Source organism: Homo sapiens, chromosome 18 (genome assembly GCF_000001405.40).
Source record: "Homo sapiens chromosome 18, GRCh38.p14 Primary Assembly".
NCBI lineage: Eukaryota > Metazoa > Chordata > Mammalia > Primates > Hominidae > Homo > Homo sapiens.
Window position 1 is genome coordinate 135,028 of NC_000018.10, and position 23,196 is coordinate 158,223.

General features: G+C 42.6%; 1 long non-coding RNA gene across 1 annotated transcript; it reads left to right on the forward strand.

The window, feature by feature from the left end:
- Positions 1-16,384: 16,384 nt before the first annotated feature.
- Positions 16,385-23,142, forward strand: LOC105371951 (uncharacterized). The gene is made up of 4 exons (XR_935081.2): positions 16,385-16,467; positions 17,149-17,224; positions 20,382-20,488; positions 23,116-23,142. It is a non-coding gene; the product is annotated as an uncharacterized LOC105371951 (long non-coding RNA).

The following is a 23,196-nucleotide window of genomic DNA, read 5'->3' on the forward strand; positions in this document are numbered from 1 at the left end:
ATCCTTGTATGAATTTTCTGTATTTATTAAGACAGTGTCACAGTGCCAGCCTCAACCTTAATAATTATGGTGATCATCTCAACTTTATATATGTAGAACAAATCAAGCCTTTATAAATGAGGTTGAGAATTTTTAGGGTCTGCACAACCACCTTAATACAGTTTTGTTTCATCACCATTACAGCACGGGTCTGGAAGGCTAGATTAGGCTGTGGTATCACTCCCTCAAATCTCAGTGGCTTACAAAAACAAAGGTTTACTTCCCCCTCATACTACATTTCCATTATAGGTCAGCTGCAACTTTGCTTTGTGTCCTATTCACTCTGGGACCCAGGGCAATGAAGTAGCCTCTCTTTCAAATATTGCCAATCATCATGGCAAAGGATAAAAGGACATGGTGATGCATGAGCTAGTTTTCAACACTTCCGCCCAGATATGGCACCTAGCACTGCCAACTTGCATTTCATGGTCATAGCAAGTCATAAGGCCACGTCTGCCATCAAGGAGGTGAGGATACATAATCCATATGGGAGTGCAGAAAATACAGGGGAACAATAAAATATTATGCCAGAATTACTTTCTTTTTCTTTGACTAATAAATCAATGTTTTTATACATGGGCACCAAAAATTAATACCTGTGTTTTGCTGGAAAAAAAGTGGTTTGATTTTTCTTCTCTACTTCCTCCCATTTATTTTTTTTTCCATTTCATCCTCCAATCTATATTTCTAAGAGCCACAGAATTAATTTTAATGCTGGTAGTGATCTTAGAGATAGTCCAACTCAAGTTACTTACTCTTCAAGTAAGGATACCAATACTAGAGAGGAAATTGTAAGATGCCCATGTTTTAAACTGTAATTAGCTGGGCCTGCTGGCACACTTCTGTAGTCGCTACTCATGAGGCTGAGACAGGAATGCTGCTTGAACCCAGGAGTTTGAGTGCAGCCCGGGCATCATCTCTAAATAAATAAAGTTGCAACAGAACAAAACAGACTAAAACCCAGGTCTCTCAATTTATAATTGAATGCTTCTGCAACATATAGCTTTGTTTCCAAAACTGAGTTATTAAAATGATGTGCCTTTTAATAAATAAGAGTGCATGTTATCATTCAGTACCTAAAACATAATTACAGAAAACATTTAAATATGTGAGGAAAACCATAAAAACAGGACTCATGTTAGAAAATCATTTTTACAATGTGCACTTTTTTGCATGAGGAATCTTTTGGTTGCAAATGGAAAACCCAACACACACTGGCTAAAGAAGAAACTTACTGATTCATGAAATTTGTTTAATTCAAAGTGCAGGGAAAAAGCTAGCTTTGAGCGTGAGTCCAGTAGCTCCAGTGAAGCTTCTAGCATCTTTGTACCTCTAGCCCACTTTTCTCCTTTGGGGTGGCCTCCTTCTCACAGTCTCCTCATCTTACTGCAGCGCCAGGCCTACGTTCTACAAGTGTAGCAATCTCAGGACAAAGAGCATCTCTGTTGCCTACTTATTCCAGGGGCCAGGGAACTCCTCCCATTAGCTGAGTCACATGTCTCTGGTTGAACCAATCACTACAGGCAGAGGGAAGCCGTGTTCTGATTGGTCACACCAGAGTCACGTGAGGTCAGACCCACACAAACCACCTGCACTGAAAGTGGCGGAAGGACTGGTTTGCAAACCGGCTGCTGTTTCCGGCAAAAAAAAAAAAAAAAGAGGCAAAAGCCACAAATTTTTCTTATAGCTGTTGGTTGCTTTGATTCACTACAGGCAAAACCAAGAAACTATGGCAAATTTTACAGTCAATAAAACTGAGTAAAAATTAAAAAAAGATTTGATAAATAGGTGTTTGGTGGAAAATAAAGTCTAGGGATGATTAATATAAGAAATATTAGTCTAAACATGGTGAGCTTTTCTGTGGAATCAAAAAATCTGAATGTGGCCGGGCGAGGTGGCTCACAGAGGCGGGTGGATCATCTGAGCTCTAGCGTTCGAGAACAGCCTGGGCAACATGGTGAAACCCGGTCTCTACTAAAAACAAAAATTAGCTGGCGTGGTGGTGCGCGCCTGTAATCCCAGCTACTCCGGAGGCTGAGGCAGGAGAATCGCTTGAACCCAGCAGGCGGAGGTTGAATTGAGCCGAGATCGCACCACTGCACTCCAGCCTGGGTGAGAGAGCGAGGCTCACAACAAGGAAGAGAGAGAGAGAGAGGCAGAGAGAGAGAGAGAGAGATCTGAATGTGAGGATCAAAAGTAAATTGAACTCCTGACCTTAAGTGATCTGCCTGCCTCAGCCTCCCAAAGTGCTGGGATTACAGGCATGAGCCACTGCACCCGGCCAAATTGGGAATGATAAAATGTATATGATTGAAAAAGAGTCTGTTGTTTGGGGGGTGTCCACATCTTTTCCTGCTGTTTCCCTCCCACGCACCCTGCACACTACCAATCTTTGTTAAAATGTGTGTAGGTTTCTAGAAGAAAAGCAATTTATCGTCTTGTTGCTGTGGTTCCCAGGTGAGTTGCTAGTAGGAAAACAAGAACACTGTTATTTTGACAGAGCAAGTTGTGACGCTAAGAAATGACTTAACTGCACAGGAGCAGATTTTAAACCAGTATTTCCATTGCTGCCACCTAGTTGTCCACTTTAATTTTCTGCTTCAGTGTTTTAAATCTTGCTCCAAAGTACGTGATATACAAATTATTGTTTATCTCATTATGTATTTGTTAAAGAAAATAAAATGAAATTATATATATATATATATATTTTTTTTTTTTGAGACGGAGTCTTACTCTATTGCCCAGGCTGGAGGGCAGTGGTGCGATCTCACTGCAACCTCTGCCTCCCAGGTTCAAGCAATTCTCCTGCCTCAGCCTCCTGAGTAGCTGGGATTACAGGTGCCCACCACAACACCCAGCTAATGTTTGTATTTTTAGTAGAGATAGGGTTTCACCATGTTGGCCACGCTGGTCTTGAACTCCTGACCTCAAGTGATCTGCCTCAGCCTCCCAAAGGGCTGGGATTACAGGCGTGAGCCACCGTGCCTGGTGAAATTTTATATTTTTAAGATGCACTACTCAATAAAATGAACTTCAGGATGTGTGCTGATATTTAAAACAGAAAGAAAGTCCAGGCACAGTGGCTCATGCCTGCAATCCCAGCACTCTGGGAGGCCAAGGTGGGAGGATCCTTTCAGTCTGGGAGTTCGAGATCAACCTGGGCAACACGGTGAAAACCCACCTCTATAAAAATTACAAAAATTATCCTGGCATGGTGGCACATGCCTGTAGTCCTACCTACTCAGGAGGCTGAGGTAGGAGGCTCACTCAAGCCTGGGAGGTCAAGGCTGCAGTGAGCCGTGATCACGCCACTGCACTCCAGCCTGAGCCACAGAGGGCCACAGAGCAAGACCCTGTCTCAAACAAAACAAAACAAAACAGAAAAAAAATGAATTAAATAAAAGTAGCTCACATCTGAGTTTGTGAGGATACTGGCATCTTGGAAGTTTATGAGAATCTCAGCTTTTCATTTCAAATTAGGCTGGAGGAAGCATATGTGTTTCCATATTGGAATCATAAAACCTTTTTTCCAGAATCACCCAAATTATTTTCCAGAACCAAATAAATGGCCCCTATCTCAGTGTAAGAGCTATGAAATCATCAATTTCAGAAATTTAGTAGAGACCTTTTCACATTTAAGTATATAATACATATACAAATTGTACTAGATAGCCTAATATTTAAAGATATTAGTAGGCTGGGCATGGTGGCTCACGCCTGTAATCACAGCACTTTGGGAGGCTGAGGCAAGAGTATCACCTGAGGTCAGGAGTTTGAGACCAGCCTGACCAACATAGTGAAACCCTGTCTCTACTAAAAATACAAAAATTAGCCGGGCATGGTGGCACGTGCCTGTAGTCCCAGCTACTCAGGAGGCTGAGGCACAAGAATAGCTTGAACTTAAGAGGCAGAGGTTGCAGTGAGCCGAGATCATGCTACTGCACTCCAGCCTGGGCCACAAAGCAAGACTTCATCTCCAAAAAAAAAAAAAAAAGTTAGTATAAATATGCATAGGCCTCAGTTTTAAGTACCATAATTTGAAGAGATGCCAGAATAGTTATTCTTGAATTAAATATTAACAAAATAGTTGCTTTTTTACCATAATGTCAGGAGTATCATATTGAAAAATTATTTACATATATTATTTTTTTGAGAAAGAGTCTTGCTCTGTCATCCAGGCTGGAGCACAGTGGCATGATCTCAGCTCACTGCAAACTCCACCTCCCAAGTTCAAGCGATTCTTGTGCCTCAGCCTCCCAAGTAGCTGGGACTACAGGTGCGCACCACCACACTCAGCTAATTTTTGTATTTTTAGTAAAGACGGGTTTTTGCCATATTGGCCAGGCTGGTTTCCAACTCCTGGCCTCATGTGATATGCCCGTCTTGGCCTCCCAAAGTGCTGGGGTTACAGGTGTGAGCCACTGGGCCCAGCCTGTTTATATAATTAAAGGAGGGTAATGAAGAAGCAGGAGCTGGGGTTGTAGTGGGAAACTGGTTAAAGATTGTCTGGCTCACTCCATAGTGATTGTACTGTTGGGCTTGCCTAACATAAATATAAATATAAATATAATTGAGTGCAACATAATGTTCTTGACCAATTCTCTTTGGATGGCGGGACTCATGACTGGGGGCATTTGTGATTTTTCCACCCACATCTGTTTTGCCTTTCTTCTGGTCTCAGCATCTCAATTTTTGAGGGGCGGGGAGGACTTCCTTTCTGCCATTGTGTCCTGGTTTTGTTTTTTTTAAGAGACAGAGTCTCTCTATATCGCTCAGGTTGGACTCGAACTTCTAGGCTCAAGTGACCCTCCTGCCTCAGCTGCCTGAGTAGTGGAAACTACAGGCATGCTCTACTGCACCTGGCTTGTGTTCAGTTTTGACTCTCAGTTGAGGTGACTCCCCTACTTTAGTGGAGTCATGATTTTTGGCATAACAGTTGTGATTGTTAATTTTATATGTCAACTTGACTGGGCTGTGGGGTACCCAGACGTTTGGCCAACGATTAATCTGTGTGTGTCTGTGGGGGTGTTTCTGGATGAGATTAATATTTGAATTGATGCTACATCCATATAATGTACAAATAAGAAATTACTTGACCACACAGGAGCACTAAAAAAAACAAAAGAGCTATCAAGCTACAAGAACACATGGAGGAAACCTAAATGCTGTATTAGTCCCTTTTCACGCTGCTAGTAAAGACATACCCAAGGCTTGAGCAATTTACAAAAGAAAGAGGTTTAATTGGACTTACAGTTTCAGGTGGCTGGGGAAGCTTCACAATCATGGCAGAAGGCAAGGAGGAGCAGCAGGCAAAGTAAGAATGAGGAAGATGCAAAAGCGGAAACCCCTGATAAAACCATCAGCTCTCGTGAGACTTATTCACTACCATGAGAACAGTATTGGCGATTCAATTATCTCCCACCAGGTCTCTCCCACAACATGTGGGAATTATGGGAGTACAATTCAAGATGAGATTTGGGTGACGACACAGAGCCAAACCATATCAAAGGCATATTGCAAAGTGAAAGAAGCCAATCTGAAAAAAACTATATACTGTAAGATTCCACCTAGATGACATTCTGGAAAAGGCAAAACTATGGGGACAGTAAGAAGATCAGTGGTTGCCTGGGGTTAGGGGTGGGGAAGGGAGGAACAGGTGAAGCCCAGAGGCTTTTTTGGGCAGTGAAACTACCGTTTATGATACTGTAACAGTGGGTATATGACATTCTACACTTGTGAAACCCATAAAATGTTCAACACAGGGTGAACCCTAATTTAAACTATGAACTCTGGGCTGGGCGCTGTGGCTCACCCCTGCAATCCCAGCACCTTGCGAGGCCGAGGTGGGCAGATAGCTTGAGCTCTCAAGTTTGAGATCAGCTTGGGCAACATGGTGAAACCTCATCTCTATAAAAATACAAAAATTAGCCAGTTGCGGTGGCACGTGCCTGTAGTCCCAGCTACTCAGGAGGCTGAAGTAACAGGCTCACTAGGCCTGAGAGGTGGAGCCTGCAGTGAGCTGAGACTGCACCACTGCATTCCAGCCTGGGTGATAGAGTGAGACCGTCTCAAGAAAAAAGAGAATAAACTATGGACTTTGGGTGATAAAGATGTGTCTGTGTTGGTTCATTGATTATAACAAATGCACCACACTGACAGGGGATGTCAATGGTGTGGATGGCTGGGAGTGGGTGTATGGGAATTCTTGGACTTAACATTCAGTTTTTCTGTGAGCCTAAAACTGCTCTAAAAAATAAAGTGTATTAATTTTTTAAAAAATGAAGGAGAAATAAAGAGTTTATTAGACACACAGACACACACACATGAAACTGAGGGGTTCGTTTAGTCAGCTCTGCCTGCCCTGCTTGCTTTTGATCGCTCGCTTTTGCTTGTTTGTTTTTTCCTTTTTTCCAGGATGTTGAAGGCTGCAATACCGAAGGCCTCACCACTGAACGCTGAAACTTACCCATCGCTGGCTACTTTATAGATAACATCCATAAGTCACCATAGTAATGGTTGCTTCAGTTGTTTTTCAGAAATGTGGGCCGGCTCCTGTCCAGTTCAAACTGTTTGAGACCACTGACCCTTCAACTGGGCCAACACAATTGCCCAAGACGTGGCCTTTTGACCACAGAGGGCCAAAAACTCCCCCCTCAGATCAAGCTGATGCCATCATTTTCTGTACATATGCCACACAAATGTCACGAGCCCCAGCTATGCTTGTGCATCATGAACCTGTTACTTTATTTTTTCCCCTGCCAATCACCTTTCCCCATGCTTTAGATCACTCCACTTTCCTAACCCCTAAACATCCCGAAGCCTCATTTTCATGGAGGTGGACTTGAGAGCTGTTCTCCCACCTCCTTGCTCGGTGCCCTTGTGAATAAATCTTTTCTCCTTTGCAAAATCCATCTTCACTGTGATTGATTTACTGTATGCAGGCAGAATGGATCTGGACTTGGCCAGGAACACACACACACACACAGACACGCACACACACACACACACACACACACACACACACACTTGCAGATGGACTGAAAAATGAGATAAAAATTCCCCATAGACCAAAAATAGAAGCAGGCAGAGGTGACAAGTTTTGCTCTTGTAGGATAACAGATTAAAATGCTCAGCATGGCTGGGCACAGTGGCTCACGCCTCTAATCCCAGCACTTTGGGAGGCTGAGGTGGAAGGATCATTGGAGCCGAGGAGTTCGAGACCAGCCTGGCCAACATGGTGAAATCCCATCTCTACTAAAAATACAAAAATTATCCGGGCGTGGTGGTGCACGCCTGTAATCGCAGCTACTCAGGAGGCTGAGGTGGGAGAATCGCTTGAACCCAGGAAGTGGAGGTTGCAGTGAGCCGAGATCTTGCCACTGCACTCCAGCCTGGGCAACAGAGTGAGACTCCGTCTAAAATAAAATAAAATAAAATATAATAAAATAAAATAAAATGCTCAGCTTGAAAAGGGGAATAGGAGTGGATAAATACTTACAACCAGAGGCAAAGGAGGAATCGCCCCACTCATGAAACAGGCTGAAAATAACAACAAAAAATACATAAATAAGCAAAACCAAAAACTAAAAACCCTGTCTCTGTGTAGAGCTGTGACTCCAGGAAGATGGGAGGGTAATGGCAAAGCTATGTGACAAGTAACTGAACTGAACTGGCCCTTGGCTTAGTGACTGGATGTGTCATATCCTAATATCAACATGGAGCAGGAGACCCCAAACACCAGGCTGGAGAACGTCAGAAAAAGACCAGAAGACAGGAGGGATGAAAACAGTGAGTCATCCTGCAAATTAGACGGTCCCCCAACCATATGAATGGACCCTTCCTCTCAGCTAAGGGCATTCCAGAGTGAACCTGACAAACTAGTTCAGGCCATGATGGAAGAGGGGTTTAGGTGTACCTCATTATACCTCTCCAGCATTAATATCGACACAGACCTTAAGTCTGATAAGAAACATTTACAATCTATTCTCTCTGAAGTCTGCTACTTGGAGGCTTCATCTGCATGATAAAACCTTGGGCTCCACAACCCCTTATCATAACCCAGACATTCCTTTCTATTGATAACTTTCTTTTTTTTTTTTTGAGATGGAGTTTCACTCTTGTTGCCCAGGCTGGAGTGCAATGGCGGGATCTTGGCTCACCGCAACCTCTGCCTCCCAGGTTCAAGCGATTCTCCTGCCTCAGCCGCCTGAGTAGCTGGGATTACAGGCATGCGCCACCACTCCCGACTAATTTTGTATCTTTAGTAGAGATGGGGTTTCTCCACGTTGGTCAGGTTGGTCTCAAATTCCCAACCTCAGGTGATCCACCAGCCTGGGACTCCTAAAATGCTGGGATTACAGGCGTGAGCCACCGTGCCCAGCTATTGATAACTCTTTCGACCAACTGGCAATCAGAATTTTTAAATCTACCTATGATCTGGAAGGCTCTCCCCACCACTCCGAGTTGCCCCACCCTTCCTCCCTTCCAGATCGAACCAGCGTATATCCTACATGTATTGACTGAGGTATTATGTCTCCCTAAAATGTATAAAAACACACTGTACCCATACACCTTGGGCACATGTCGTCAGGACCTCCTGAGGGTGTGTCTTGGGAGTGTCCTTAACCTTAGCAAAATAAACTTTCTGAATTGATTGGGACCTGTCTCAGATACCTTTGGTTCACAACAGGGAGCCTAACAATGGGGAGATCACAGAGTCTCACCTAAACTCTGCCCCGCCATCAAGCTCACCTGATCATTAGTAAGCCTGGGACCATCAGATGCTGTGCGCCTCCTCATCCAATGCAACGTGAAGCACACAGCATCATTCTTGGAGTATTTCTGTAAAAAAAGGCTTAGCTAGAATGTAATCAAGTCTCTACAGCTAATTTCTCTTACAAGAAATACAGGGAAAATCAAGGTAAATGGTGCCACAAAGCAGCAAACCAACAACTCCAGGATATGGGACATTTCATATTATGGAATGGCTTACCTGGCTTTTCTAAAAGTTAATGGCATGAAAATAACGTAGTGAGGTTAAAGAAAGGCAGCAGCCGCTGGGTGCGATGGCTCACGCCTGTAATCCCAGCACTTTGGGAGGCCGAGGTGGGCGGATCACTTGAGGCCAGGAGTTGGAGACCAGCCTGGCCAATATGGTGAAACCCTATCTCTACTAAAAATAAAAAAAAAATTAGCTGGGCGTGGTGGTGCGAGCCTATAATCCCAGCTACTCCGGAGGCTGAGGAAGGAGAATCGCTTGAACCTGGGAGGTGGAGGTTGCAGTGAACCAAGATCGCACCATTGCACTCCAGCTTGGATAACACTCTGTCCAAAAAAAAAAAGAGAGAGAGGCCGCAGCTTTATTTCAAAAGGAACTTAAGAGGCATAACAAATGTAATCTATGGATCTCATTTGGATCCTAACTCTAAGAAATAAACTATAATCAACAAATAAAAACAAACAAGAAAACCAGCAAAAAAACCCCACCATTTTAAAAACAACTGGGGAAGTTGACTATGGTCTACAAAATAGATAATACCAAGAAAATATTGTTAATTTTGTTAGGTAAGATAATGATATTATAGCTATATAAGAAAATAATTCCTATACTTTTAGGGATGGTTAATAGAGGTTCTTAAGCAAAGAAAAAGGGGGAAAGAATAGATGAGACAAATAGGCAAAACTTGAATTTTGTTAAATCTTGATATGGGAATACAGAGGTTCATTGTACTATCCACTATGCAACTGGCATAATGATTTTATTCTAGGTGAATTTTCTTTTATGTAAAAGTCTTTAAAAGATGAAAATTAGGCTGGGGAATTATTGTTTGAAATTTACAAAGATTAAAAACCGTAACTCTAAATGCAAGGCATGATCTTGGATTGGATCCTGGACTAGAAAAAAAATTACTAGAAAGGACATTTTGCAAAAATGTCCTTTGAATAAAGTCTATAGATTAGGTAATAGTGTTATTGTATTATGGTGAATATCCTGATTTTGGTAGTTGTCCTATGGTTATACAAGTGAATGTTCTTGTTCTTACGGAATAACACTGATTTATTTAGAGCTAAATATACATCATATCTGCAACTTACTCTCAAATGATTAACACAAATGTCATGAGTGTCTATATATAGATTTATATCTATGTATCTATAACTATATATTATATATATATATATATATACACACACATATATAGCAACTATGGTGAAATGTTAGTGAAGGGTAAACAAGAGTTCCTGGTATTACTCTTGCAAATTTACTGTAATTTTGAAATTACTTCAAATAATAAGTTAAAAAATAGTAATGACAAAAATATTAGTTTAAAGGGATCATATTCTTTTCAAAAAGACCAATAAATTATGAAAAGAAAACAAAAATATTACACAAGACAGGACAATTATAAAAAAGAACCAATAAGCAATCTTGGAAGTGTAAAATATAATCATTAAAATATAAAACAATAGACGGGAAAACCGGCTGACTGGACAGAGAGAGAATTAATGATTTGGAAGAGAGTACTGAGAATTCAAACATAATTTACCACAGAGATAAAGAGATAAAAGAATATGAGAGACCAGGTAAGACAAATGAAGGATGTAGAATCTTCAACAGGCCAGGCGAGGTGGCTCACACCTATAATCCCAGCACTTTGGGAGGCCAAGGTGGGCAGATTGCTTGAGCCCAGGAGTTTGAGACCAGCCTGGGCAATATGGTGAAACCCCGTCTCTACAAAAAATACAAAAATTAGCCAGGCATGGTGGCGCATACCTATAATCCCAACTACTTGGGAGGCTGAGGTGGGAGGATCACCTGAGTCTGGGAGGTTGAGGCTGCAGTGAGCAGAGAATTGTATCACTGCACTCCAGCCTGGGTGACACAGTGAGACCCTGTCTCAAAAAAAAAAAAAAAAGAAAGAAAGAAAGAAAAGAGAAGCTTCAATAAAAACCCACTTGTAAGATGACAGCAAGAATAAAAAATTTTGTTAATTTTTAAAAATATGAATTATAAGAGAAAATTTTGGCTGGGTATGGTGGCTCATGCCTGTAATCCCAGCACTTTGGGAGGCTGAGGCAGGAGGATTGCTTGAGCTCAGGAGTTCCAGACCAGTCTGGATAACATGGTGGAACCCTGTCTCTACTAAATAAATAAATAATTAAAAGAAATTTTTATTTTTTAAAAAAACAATGGTAGTTTCAAAACAGAGAATAAGCAGCATCCAAAAACCTAAGTCTCAGCTCAAAACTTCACTCCTAGTACTGAGATGGATAAATTAAATACACAGCTGAACACGCTACATGAAACTGCAGAATATTAAGAACAAAGAGAAAATTCTAAGAGTTATTAGAGAGAGAAGACCTTATCTACAAGGTAACAACAAATTAAACTTAACAAAAAAAGTTTCATCAGCAATAGTAAATGACAGAAGACAACGAAATTTCTTCAAAGTGCTCAGGAAAATTACTGCCAATCTATTAATCTCTACTCAGCTAACCGATCAGCAAGAACAAGATTGAAATAAAGATATTTGCAGACATACACAGAATAAGTGAGGCTATCTAGTACTTATGCAAGAGAGCGCTTCACCTACCTACCCTGACTGAAAGTACTGTTAATATAGCTAATGTTAATAATATGGTGAAAGAATTCGTTCCTCTCGGCAGCAACGTCTTCAGCAGGTCTCATTGCCAGAAATCACTCCGTTGCCCAGCCCTCTGGGGCTTCCATCACTTTTGTCCATTTCTTCTTAATTTTTTATTTATTTATTTATTTATTTATTTATTTATTTTTATTTATTTATTTTTTTTTTTTGAGACGGAGTCTCGCTCTGTCGCCCAGGCTGGACTGCAGTGGCGCGATCTCGGCTCACTGCAAGCTCCGCCCCCCGGGTTCACGTCATTCTCCTGCGTCAGCCTCCCGAGTAGCTGGGACTACAGGCGCCCGCCATCACGCCCGGCTAATTTTTTTTTGTATTTTTAGTAGAGACGGGATTTCACCGTGTTAGCCAGGATGGTCTCGATCTCCTGACCTCGTGATCCGCCCGCCTCGGCCTCCCAAAGTGCTGGGATTACAGGCGTGAGCCACCGTGACCGGCCTCTTCTTAATTCTATAATGTTCTTAGTTTCTGTTGTTGAAAATCTTTCACTATATAAGTAATGGTGTAGCTGAAAGACATCGGAAGTGAAGGAAATAAAAAGGGAAGGGAAGGCTAAAAATTCTAATTTTCTTATCTTATATAACAGCAGTCAGGAAACACTCTAAGGTCAATGAACAGTGCAGTGAGGCCGGGCGCGGTGGCTCACGCCTGTAATCCCAGCACTTTGGGAGGCCAAGGCAGGCAGATCACGAGGTCAGGAGATCGAGACCATTCTGGCTAACACGGTGAAATCCCGTCTCTACTAAAAATACAAAAAAAAAAAAAAATTAGCCAGGCGCATTGGCGGGCACCTGTAGTCCCAGCTACTCGGGAGGCTGAGGCAGGAGAATGGCGTGAACCCGGGAGGCGGAGCTTGCAGTGAGCAGAGCTCGCGCCACTACATCCAGCCTGGGTAACAGAGCGAGACTCAGCCTCAAAAAAAAAAAAAAAAAAAAAAAAAGCTGGGTGTGGTGGTGCACACCTATAGTCCCAGGTACTCAAGAGGCTGAAGTGGAAGGATCACCCGAGCCCAGAAGGTCAAGGCTGCAGTGAGCTGTGATCACGCTCGGCAAGAAAGTGAGACCCTGTCTCAAAAAAAAAAAAAAAAAGAAAGAAAAAAAAAGTAAAAGTAACCAACAAAATAACTACAACCTAATTATTAAAAATTGGGAACCAGGCATGGTAGCTCATACCTATAATCCTAGCACTTTGGAAGGATGAAACAGGCAGATCATTTGGATCAGGAGTTCAAGACCAGCCTGGGCAACATAGTTAGATCCCCTCTCTACAAAAAGTGAAAATAAAAAAATTAGCTGGACATGATGGCACGTGCCTGAGGTCCCAGCTACTTGGGAAGCTGAGGCAGGAGGATCACTTAAGCCCAGGAGTTCAAGCCTGTGGTGATCCAGGATCCGGCCACTGCACTCCAGCCTAGGTGACAGAGTGAGACCCTGTCTCTAACCAAAAAATAAAATAAAATAAAATTGAGAAGAAAGAGGAAGAAGGGGAGGCAAAATACAGCATAACTGACCCACATCCTCATTGTTTACACTGGGGTTCAACAGATATTGCTTACACTTGATAAATTAAATAGAGTTATAAGCATATTATTCAGAATTATAGAGGTGACCACCAGGAGAGCTAAAATCAGAAAGAGTTAAAGTCAGTTGCTGATGAGAAGTGAGATTGTAGGTGGAATGAGATAGGAGAGTTTTGTTTTACTTTAAATGTTTTCCTGTTACTGTTTGAATTTTAAACCTCGTATGGGTATTGCTTTACTAATTTTTTAAAAAGTAGGTAACATTAAAGGGGTCTTTCTGCCTTAACTCATGGGGAGCCCTATGTAAGGCTTTTTGATTCAGGTTAGGGCTTTGCTTTGGAATAAGAGATCATCTGCAACAGTTGAGTACACAGACTTTTTTTTTTTTTTGAGAAAGGGTCTCACTTTGTTGCCCAGGCTGGAGTGCAGCAGCACAGTCTCAGTTCACTGTAACCTCCGCCTCCTGGGTTCAAGCGATTTTCCTGCCTCAGCCTCCCTAGTAGCTGGGACTACAGGCCAGCGCCACAACGCTGGCTAATTTTTGTATGTTTAGTAGAGAGAGGGTTTCACCATGTTGGCCAGGCTGGTCTCGAACTCCTGACCTCAAGTGATTCACCCGCCTTGGCTTCCCAAAGTGCTGGGATTGCAGGCATGAGCCACTGCACCCGGTCTACACGGACATTTCAATATTATTTTTCTTCTTTGTGAGGAATAGTAATTTTAAGAAGATAGAAAACCCCACCTAATTGAGACTAGTCTTTTAATCCTGGCACTCAGGCTCTCGTAATCTTGTCCCATATTGCCAGCTACCTTATCTATTACCACAGCCCCACATAGAGGTCCTCCATTCTGCTCTAGTTTCCCTTCTACCACCCACATGCATAGTTGCTATATATTTTAATAATTTTTTCTACTTTTCTACATTTTTTTTTTTTTGAGACAGGGTCTCGCTCTGTCACCCAGGCTGGAGGGCAGCGGCATGATCTTGACTCACTGCAACCTCTGCCTCCCGGGCTCAAGCAATTCTCCCACCTCAGCCCTCAACTAGCTGGGACCATAGGCGTGTGCCACCATGCCCAGCTAGTTTTTGTATTTTTTGTAGAGATGTGGTTTCACCATGTTGCCCAGGCTGGTTTCGAAGTCCTCGGCTCCAGTGATCCTCCCGCCTCAGCCTCCAAAAGTGCTGGGATTACAGGCGTGAGCCACCGCACTCAGCAATTGTTTTCTACATTTTCTGATAGACTGTGAATTCCTGGAATGCCGGGTCCCTAAGTAGACAGTCAATAAATAATTGTTGAATTGATGAATTTGATTGCTTTGGGATTTTGCTTTTTTTTGAGACAGCGTCTTGCTCTGTCACCCAGGCTGGAGTACAGTGGTGCAGTCACAACCCACTGCAGCTTTAACCTCCCGGGCTTCATCTATCCTCCCACTTCAGCCTCCAGAGTAGCTGCAACTACAGGTGTGCACCACCAAACCCAGCTAATTTTTTATTTTTTGTAAAGACGGGGCTTTCCCATGTTGGCCAGGCTTGTATTGTGCTTCTGGGCTCAACTGATCCACCGCAGCCTCTCAAAGTGCTAGGATTACAGGTGTGAGCCACTTTCTTCTCCTCCTCCTCCTTCTTCTCCTCCTCCTCCTTCTTCTTTTTTTTTTTTTTTGTTTTTTGTTTTTTGTTTTTACAGAGTCTTGCTCTGTCTCCAGGCTGGAGTGCAGTGGTCCGATCTTGGCTCACTGCAACCTCTGCCTCCTGGGCTCAAGCAGTTCTCCCACTTCAGCCTCCTGAGTAGCTGGGACTACAGGCACCCGCCACCACACTTGACTACTTTTTTGTAATTTTGTAGAGATAGAGTTTTGTCACGTTGCCCAGGCTGGTCTTCAATTCCTGAGCTCAAGCAATTCACCTGCATTGGCCTCCCAAAGTGCTGGGATTATAGGTGTGAACCACTGTGCCCAGCCAGGTTTTGCTTTTTCTATATTTCTCTAGAACCTTCCTGCCCCCAACTGCTTCCCACCCCCTTCAATTTCTTTATTCTCTGAATTCCTATTACCAATAACCTCAACCCATTCATTCACCAAATATATAGAATGCCTACTCCATGCCGGGTCTGTGCCAGGCCTAGGAGACACAGAGATGAACGGCACAGATGCAGGCACTGTCCGGACACGAAGCAGATAATACACAGATAGCAATCTAATGATAATTATTAAAGTGCTTCAGAGTGTGATATGACCTCTAATTGAAATACTCCTCAAATATTATTGAAGGAGCTGCAAAGAAGTATTCATAGTCTAGATGGAAAGATAATATAACTGCCAGGGCTCACGCCTGTAATCCCAGTGCTTTGGGAGGCTGAGGCGAGCAGATCACTTGAGAACAGGAATTCGAGACCAGCCTGGCCAACATGGTGAAACCCCGTCTCTACTAAAAGTACAAAAAGTTAGCCGGGTATGGTGGTGCCAGGTGTGGTGGTGGGTGCCTGCAATCCCAGCTACTCAGGAGGCTGAGGTGGGAAAATCTCTTGAACCTGGGAGGCAGAGGTTTCAGTGAACTGAGATTGTGCCACTTCACTCCAGCCTGAGTGACAGAGTGAGACCCTGTCTCAAGTAAAAAAAAAAAAAAAAAAAAAAAGAAAAGAAAGATAATATAACTGCTCTATACACATAAAAAGACAGTAAATATTAAATGTTTAATGTCAAAGATAGTAAATATTAAATGTTAAAAGATAGTAAATATTTAAAGATGGTAATAAAATGTTGAGTGATACAAAAAGCAATTGCTTAAATAAGCAGAGAAAAGTTCACGGTTTGCATCATGGAGGTGAGAAATAAGTAGAGAGGAATTGGGAAGAACATTCCGAGGTAGTAGCGTGGGGAAAACAATGGAAGGTAAGAAAGCACAGTATTTTCAAGCATCATTTAATTTTTTTTTGAGACAGGGACTTACTATGTTGCCCAGGCTGGAATGCAGTAGTGCAATCAGAGCTATCTGCAGCCTCAACCTCCTGGCTTTAGTGATCCTCCCACTGTAGCCTCCGGAGTAGCTGGGACTACAAGCATGCATTACTGAACTCGGGTTTTTTGTTTTGTTTTGTTTTGTTTTGTTTTTAACTAGAGACAAGGTCTTGCTATGTTGCCCAGGCTGGTCTTGAACCCCTTGCCTCAAGTGATCCTTCCACCTCGGCCTCCCAAAGTGCTGAGTTTACAGGCGTGAGCCACTGTCCCTGGCCAAGCATCATTGAATTTGAGGTAATATAGGTAAAGAAATATTAGGGATAAGGCCAGACAGTTTATTCATGTCCAGCTGTAGAGATTTTTGTTTCTAAAAGAAATGTTTTGAGAGTGAGGATTGCAAATCATATATTTCTGTTTTGGCTTTAATAATGCAAACTTTGGGAATTGAACTTAGCCTAGAACTTAGCCTACTCATATGTAGATATATAAACAGATGAGTGCCTCTGCTATTTGTTCTGTTGTGGTTTAGCTCTATCTGATAATTATTCCTGACATATATGCTCTCAACTAGCATTTATACCTTACAACTCTAAGAGGGTCCAGGGACAGATATGATCATTTTCATATTACAGTTGAGAAAACTAAATCACCAGGAGTTTGATCACTTGTTTTAGGAAAACTTTATAAGCTTGAAGATTATTGATAAAAGAAACCACCATCTGCATGGCAGAGACTGCTGGTTTTTCATCAAAATCCATTCTGTCCTTCTTGCATTGTAATAGGATTAGGAAGTGTATACCTGTGACAGGTTAGAGACTATATTTCCCAGACTTGCACGTAGCCAGGCATGGTCACATAACTGTTTTCACCAGTGAAATGTGAATGGGAGTGATCTGGGGACATCCCTCACATTCCTCTTGCTTAAAATGAAATTGCTGCCTTGTACCCTTTTTGTCTTCTATTTCTTCTTCTTAGGGGCTGAAACTTGGATCCTGCAACCCATCTTCAACCAAGTAAAAGACAAGCCCCTTCACAGCTTATTACTCAAGTAGTAAGTACTTGAGACTGAGTATTATTGTTTCCTGAGAGCTTGTTAGTATCTTAGACTCCACTCAAGACCTAGGAAATCAGAATCTGCATTTTAACAAGATCCCAGGTGATACATGTTCACATTCACCTTCAAGAAGCACTGCTCTAGCGGGTAGCAGAGGAGCTTTACAGATGGAATGTTGGTCCATAAACAACCTCATAATGCAAGTACTTGCACTTCCGTGGCTCCTGCATAACTTTCTATCTTCAATAAGCAACTGAATCTGGCTGGGCACAGTGGCTAACCCCTGTAATCCCAGCATTTTGGGAGGCCAAGGTGGGCAGATCACTTGAGGTGAGGAGTTTGAGAGCAGTCTGACCAACATGGAGAAACCCCATCTCTACTAAAAATACAAAATTAGCCAGGAGTGGTGTCACATGCCTGTAATCCCAGCTACTCAGGAGACTGAGGCAGGAGAATCACTTGAACCCGGGAGACAGAGTTTGCGGAGAGCCGAGATCACACCATTGCACTCCAGCCTGGGCAACAAGAGCGAAAACTCTGTCTCATAAATAAATAAATAAATAAATAAATAAATAAATAAATAAATAAGCAACTTAATCTTGAGGCACCTTTGCCATAGCAGCATAGCATTCACCTAATATAATTTGCATCATCTGTTGACCCAAAACTAGGTTATGAATTCATTTAGGAAATACTTTTAAAAAAATCTTTTAGGAGACTGGGTCTCACACTCTGTTGCCCAGGCTGGAGTGCAGTGGTGCAATCTTGGGTCACTGCAGCCATGAACTTCTGGGCTCAAGTGATCCTTCTGCGTCAGCCTCCCAAATAGCTAGGACTACAGGGGCAAGCCACCCTGCCTAGCTACTGTTTTTAATTTTTTTTTTTTTTTGTAGAGACAAAGTCTCTGTTACTTAGACTGGTCTCAAACTCCTGGCTTCAAGCTATCCTCCTGCCTCGGCCTCCCAAAGCACTGGGATTACAGGCATGAGCCACCATACTTGGCCAGGAAATACTTATTGAAAACCTTTTTAGGCAAACTACCGTTCTAGGTTATAGAATGTGTGTGTGTGTGTGTGTGTGTGTGTGTGTGTGTGTGTGCGTATGCATATGGTGTGTATATGTGTGTGTAGGATCCAAAATTATTATTATATTAATTTTTTTGAGACAGAGTCTTGCTGTGTTGCCCAGGCTGGAGTGCAATGGTGTGATCTCAGCTCACTGCATCCTCCGCCTCCCAGGTTCAAGTGATTCTCTTGCCTCAGCCTCCCGAGTAGCTGGGACTACAGGTGCCCGGCACGATGCCCAGCTATGTTTTGTATTTTTAGAGACGGAGTTTCACCACATTGGCCAAGCTGGTCTCGAACTCCTGACCTCAAGTAATTCGCCCGCCTCGGCCTCCCAAAGTGCCGGGATTACAGGCATGAGCCACCGTGCCCGGCAGGATTCCAAATTATTTAAGGCAGGGCTTATAGTTTATTATTTATTATTTATTTTTTAGACAGAGTCTTGCTCTGTCACCCAGGCTGGAGTGCAATGGCGCAATCTTGGCTCACTGCAACCTCTGCCTCCTGGGTTCAAGTGATTCTTCTGCCCCTGCCTCCCAAGTAGCTGGGATTAGAGGCGCATGCCACCACGCCCGGCTAATTTTTTATATTTTTAGTAGAGCTGGAATTTCACCATGTTGGCCAGGCTAGTCTCGGACTCCTGACCTCATGTGATCTGCCCCGCTTGGCCTCCCAAAGAGCTGGGATCACAGGCATGAACCACTACACCTGGTAGGGCTTATAATTTATAATTTAGTAGAGAGAGAAGAGAGAAACATAGGAATATTAAACTGTAGATGCTCTAAGAAGGTGTAGTGATATTTGTTGTTTTCTGTTTTATTATTTATTGTCTGTCCTTGGTAGACAGAAAAATACTTCTACAAATATGTCCATGTTTTAATCTCCTGAACCTATGATTATCTTGGTTGTCTTCCAAAAGGGACTGGCTGATGTGATTAAGGATCTTAAAATGAAAACAGTATCTGGAATTATCCAGTTGGGGCTAACGTAATCACAAGGGACCTTCTAAAAGGAAGGCAGAGGTCAGAGTCAGAGAAGGCGCTATGACGACTCAAGCAGGGGTTGGAGTGATGCTGTGGCTGGAATGGAGCCAGGAGCCAAGGAATGTGGACAGTATCTAGAATCTGGGAAGGGTAAGGAATAGATCCACCCTCAGAGGCCAGGTGCGGTGCCTCACTCCTGTAATCCCAGCACTTTGGGATGCCGAGGCGGGTGGATCGCCTGAGGTCAGGAGTTCGAGACCAGCCTGGCCAACATGGCAAAACCCTGTCTCTACTAAAAATACAAAAATTAGCTAGCGTGGTGGTGCGTGCCTGTAATCCCAGCTACTTGGGAGGCTGAGGCACAAGAATCGCTTGAACCCAGGAGGCGGAGGTTGCAGTGAGCTGAGATGGTGCCACTGCACTCCAGTCTAGGCAAAAAAGTGAGACTCTGTGTGAAAAAGAAAAGAAAAAAAGAATTCACCCTCAGAGCCTCTAGAAGGAATGCAGTCCTGCCAACACCTTAATGTTAAGACCAGTCTCAGACTTCTGACCACCAGAACTGTAAGATAATAATAAACTTACGTTGTTTTAAGCCACTAGGTTTGTGATAATTCATTACAGCACTCATAGGAAACTAAATCAGCCATAATAAAACATAATAGTATTTGACACAAAGGGGTGATTGTATAAGAAGGCTTTCAGTTTATGTGAAAAAGTTAGCATTAAATGGAGATTTTAAAGTTGGACAGGATTTCCCATGGCCAGATGAGGAAGGAGGGTACATTCTAAGCAATAAATTGTAGGTAATTCACCAAGTGAAAACATTTCTGATATTTGGCTATGTTTTATAGAACTTATTTATGTATAAACATGCAGGTTAAGATCTTACCAATTTATTCATTAAAGAAGTCACCCTTAAGAAGAAAATCCCATCCATTAAACACATGGAGGGCAGGGCTTAGCAATGTGTGTCATGGCGATGAGGTCGCTGTCATCTTTAACTCTGACGTTTAGGAAGGCCAGTTGTGCAAATTTCTTTTTATGCTTCCTTTCAGTTGCTAGCATGGTTCCACCTCCTCACTCTGCCCCCATTTGTCTTAAATTTAGGTCTGCGGATCTTCAGAGAGGCTGGAAGAAGCTAGTTGTACCAAAGGGACCAAAACTTGGTCTACAAGATTCCCTGGTCATCTACATGATGAATAAACTTCAAATAGGTAACTTTCACATCCAGTTCTCACAGCATCAAGTAATTCCTGAGTGCCTACGAGATAGCCACGATTCCTGTTTATAGTGTACTTGGGGGAATACAGACATTAAAAAAATAGAAGTGTGATGAGAGTTACTAAAGAAAAAGCTGGCCGGGCATGGTGGCTCACGCCTATAATCCCAGAAGTTTGGGAGGCCGTGGGCAGATAGCTTGAGGCCAGGAGTTTGAGACCAGCCTGGTCAACACAGCAGAAACCCCATCTCTACTGAAAACACAAAAATTAGTCAGGCGTGGTGGTACACACCTGTAATCCCTGCTCCTCAGGAGACTGAGGCATGACGATCACTTGAGCCTGGGAGGCGGAGGTTGCAGTGAGCCAAGATTGCATCACTACACTCCAGCATGGGCGACAGAGCAAGGCTCTCTCTCAAAAAGAAAAAGAAACAACAACAACAAAAAAGCGCAGGTTGCAATGTGAGTGTAGCAGACAGGATGATGATTTTTGCCTCTGAATCTCTCAATCTTTAGGCCTCCTTTACTATCAGCTTCAACAAAGGGCAGCACAGATTTTTCCACAGATGATCTATACATTTTTATTTGGTTTTGTTTTGTTTTTTTGAGACAGAGTCTTGCTTTGTCACCCAGGCTGGAGTGTAGTGGTGCAATCTTGGCTACTGGAACCTCTGCCTCCCAGGTTCAAGCTACCCTCCCATCTCAGCCTCCCGAGTAGCTGGGACTGCAGGAGTGCACCACCACACCTAGCTAAGTTTTAAATTTTTTGTAGAGATGGGGGTCTCACTTCATTGCCCAGGCTAGTCTGGAACTCCTGAGCTCAAGTGATCCACCTGCCTTGGCCTCCCAAAGTGCTGGGATGACAGACGTAAGCCATGGTGCCCGGGCAATCTATGCAATACATTTTTAAATATGTATGTTATAGAAATATGTTACTGAACATAAAAAAAATAGAAAATAAAGCTATCCATAGCCTGCTATTCTAACATACCCTGCAAAATCCCTTTGAAGTTTTACTGTGTAATATAAAATAGGTATCATAGCACATGTGCAATGCACTGTGCTAAGAATCTTCTATACATAATCTTATTTAGTCCTTATAACAATCCTGAGATGTATCTCCATTTTACATGCACAGCTTGAACACATTGCTAGTTTAGTTCCAGACCACTGCAATATTGCTGATATTGTAATAAAATGAGTCACACAAAGTTTTTGTTTTCCCAGTGCATATAAAAGTTATGTTTCTACTATACTGTAGTCTATTTAGTGTCAAGGCTGGGTGCAGTGGCTTATGCCTGTAATCCCAGCACTTTGGGAGGCCTAGGTGGGCAGATTGCTTGAGACCAGGAGTTCAACACCAGCCAGGGCAACATGGCGAAATCCCGTCTTTACAAAACATACAAAAAAAATTAGCCGTGTGTGGTCCCAGTTACTCAGGAGGCTGAGGTGAGAGGATAGCTTGAGCTGGGAGGTTGAGGCTGCAGTGAGCCGTAATTGCGTCACTGCACTCCAGCCTGGGTGACAGAGTGAGACCCTGTCTCAAAACAAACAAACAAAACTTTACTGCTAAAAAATGCTAAGGATCATCTGAGCTATCAGTGAATCATCATCTTTTTGCTGGCAGAGGGCTTGCCTTAATGTTGATGGCTGCTGACTGATCAGAGCGGTGGATGCTAAAGTTTGGGGTAGCTGTGGCAATTTCTTAAAATAAGACAATAATGAAATCTGCCACGTCGATTGACTCTTCCTTTCATGAAAGTTTTCCCTGTGACATGCAGTGCTGTTCAGCATTTTACCCACAGAAGAACTTTCAAATTTGAATTTCTTTCAAAATTAGAGTCAATCCTGTCAAATTCTGCTGCTGTTTTATCAACAGTTCCATAGTTTATGATATTCTAAATCCTTTGTTGTCATTCAACAGTGTTCACAGCGTCTTCACCAGGAGTAGTTTCCATCTCAAGAAACCACTTTCTTTGCTTATCCATAAGAAGCGACTCCTTGCCCATTAAAGCTTTGTCTTGAGATTGCAGCAATTCAGTCACATCTGTGGGCTCCACTTCTAATTCTAGTTCTCTTGCTATTGCCACCACACCTGCAGTTGTGTCCTGAACTCAAGCCTTGAACCCTTGTGGGAAAAGACTTGTTGCCAGAGCAGTCAGAATACACAAAACATTGGAGTTAGCTGTTTTACACGGGGGTGGTTAGTGGCACCCCAAAACAACTAAAATAGTAATCATAGATCACTGGAACAGATATAATAGTATTTAAAAAGTTCAAAATATTGTGAGAATTACCAAAATGTGACACAGAGACACGAAGTGAGCACATGCTGTTAGAAAAACAGAACTGATGGACTTACTAACCCAGGGTTGCCACAAACCTTCAATTTATATATATATATATATAAATATATATAAATATATAAATATATATAAATATATAAAAATATATAAATATATAAAAATATATAAATATATATATATAGAACGCAATAAAATGAGGTGTGGGTGAAAAGAAAACTGAGGTTTGCAGACATCATACAGCTAGCTAGTAACAGCTGGGTTTCAAAACACCTCTGACTTTACAACCACTAATTTTATTTATTTTATTTTGAGGCAGGGTCTCGCTCTGTCGCCCAGGCTGGAGTGCGGTGGCACGATCACAGCTCACTGCAGCCTCGACCTCCTGGGCTCAAGCGAT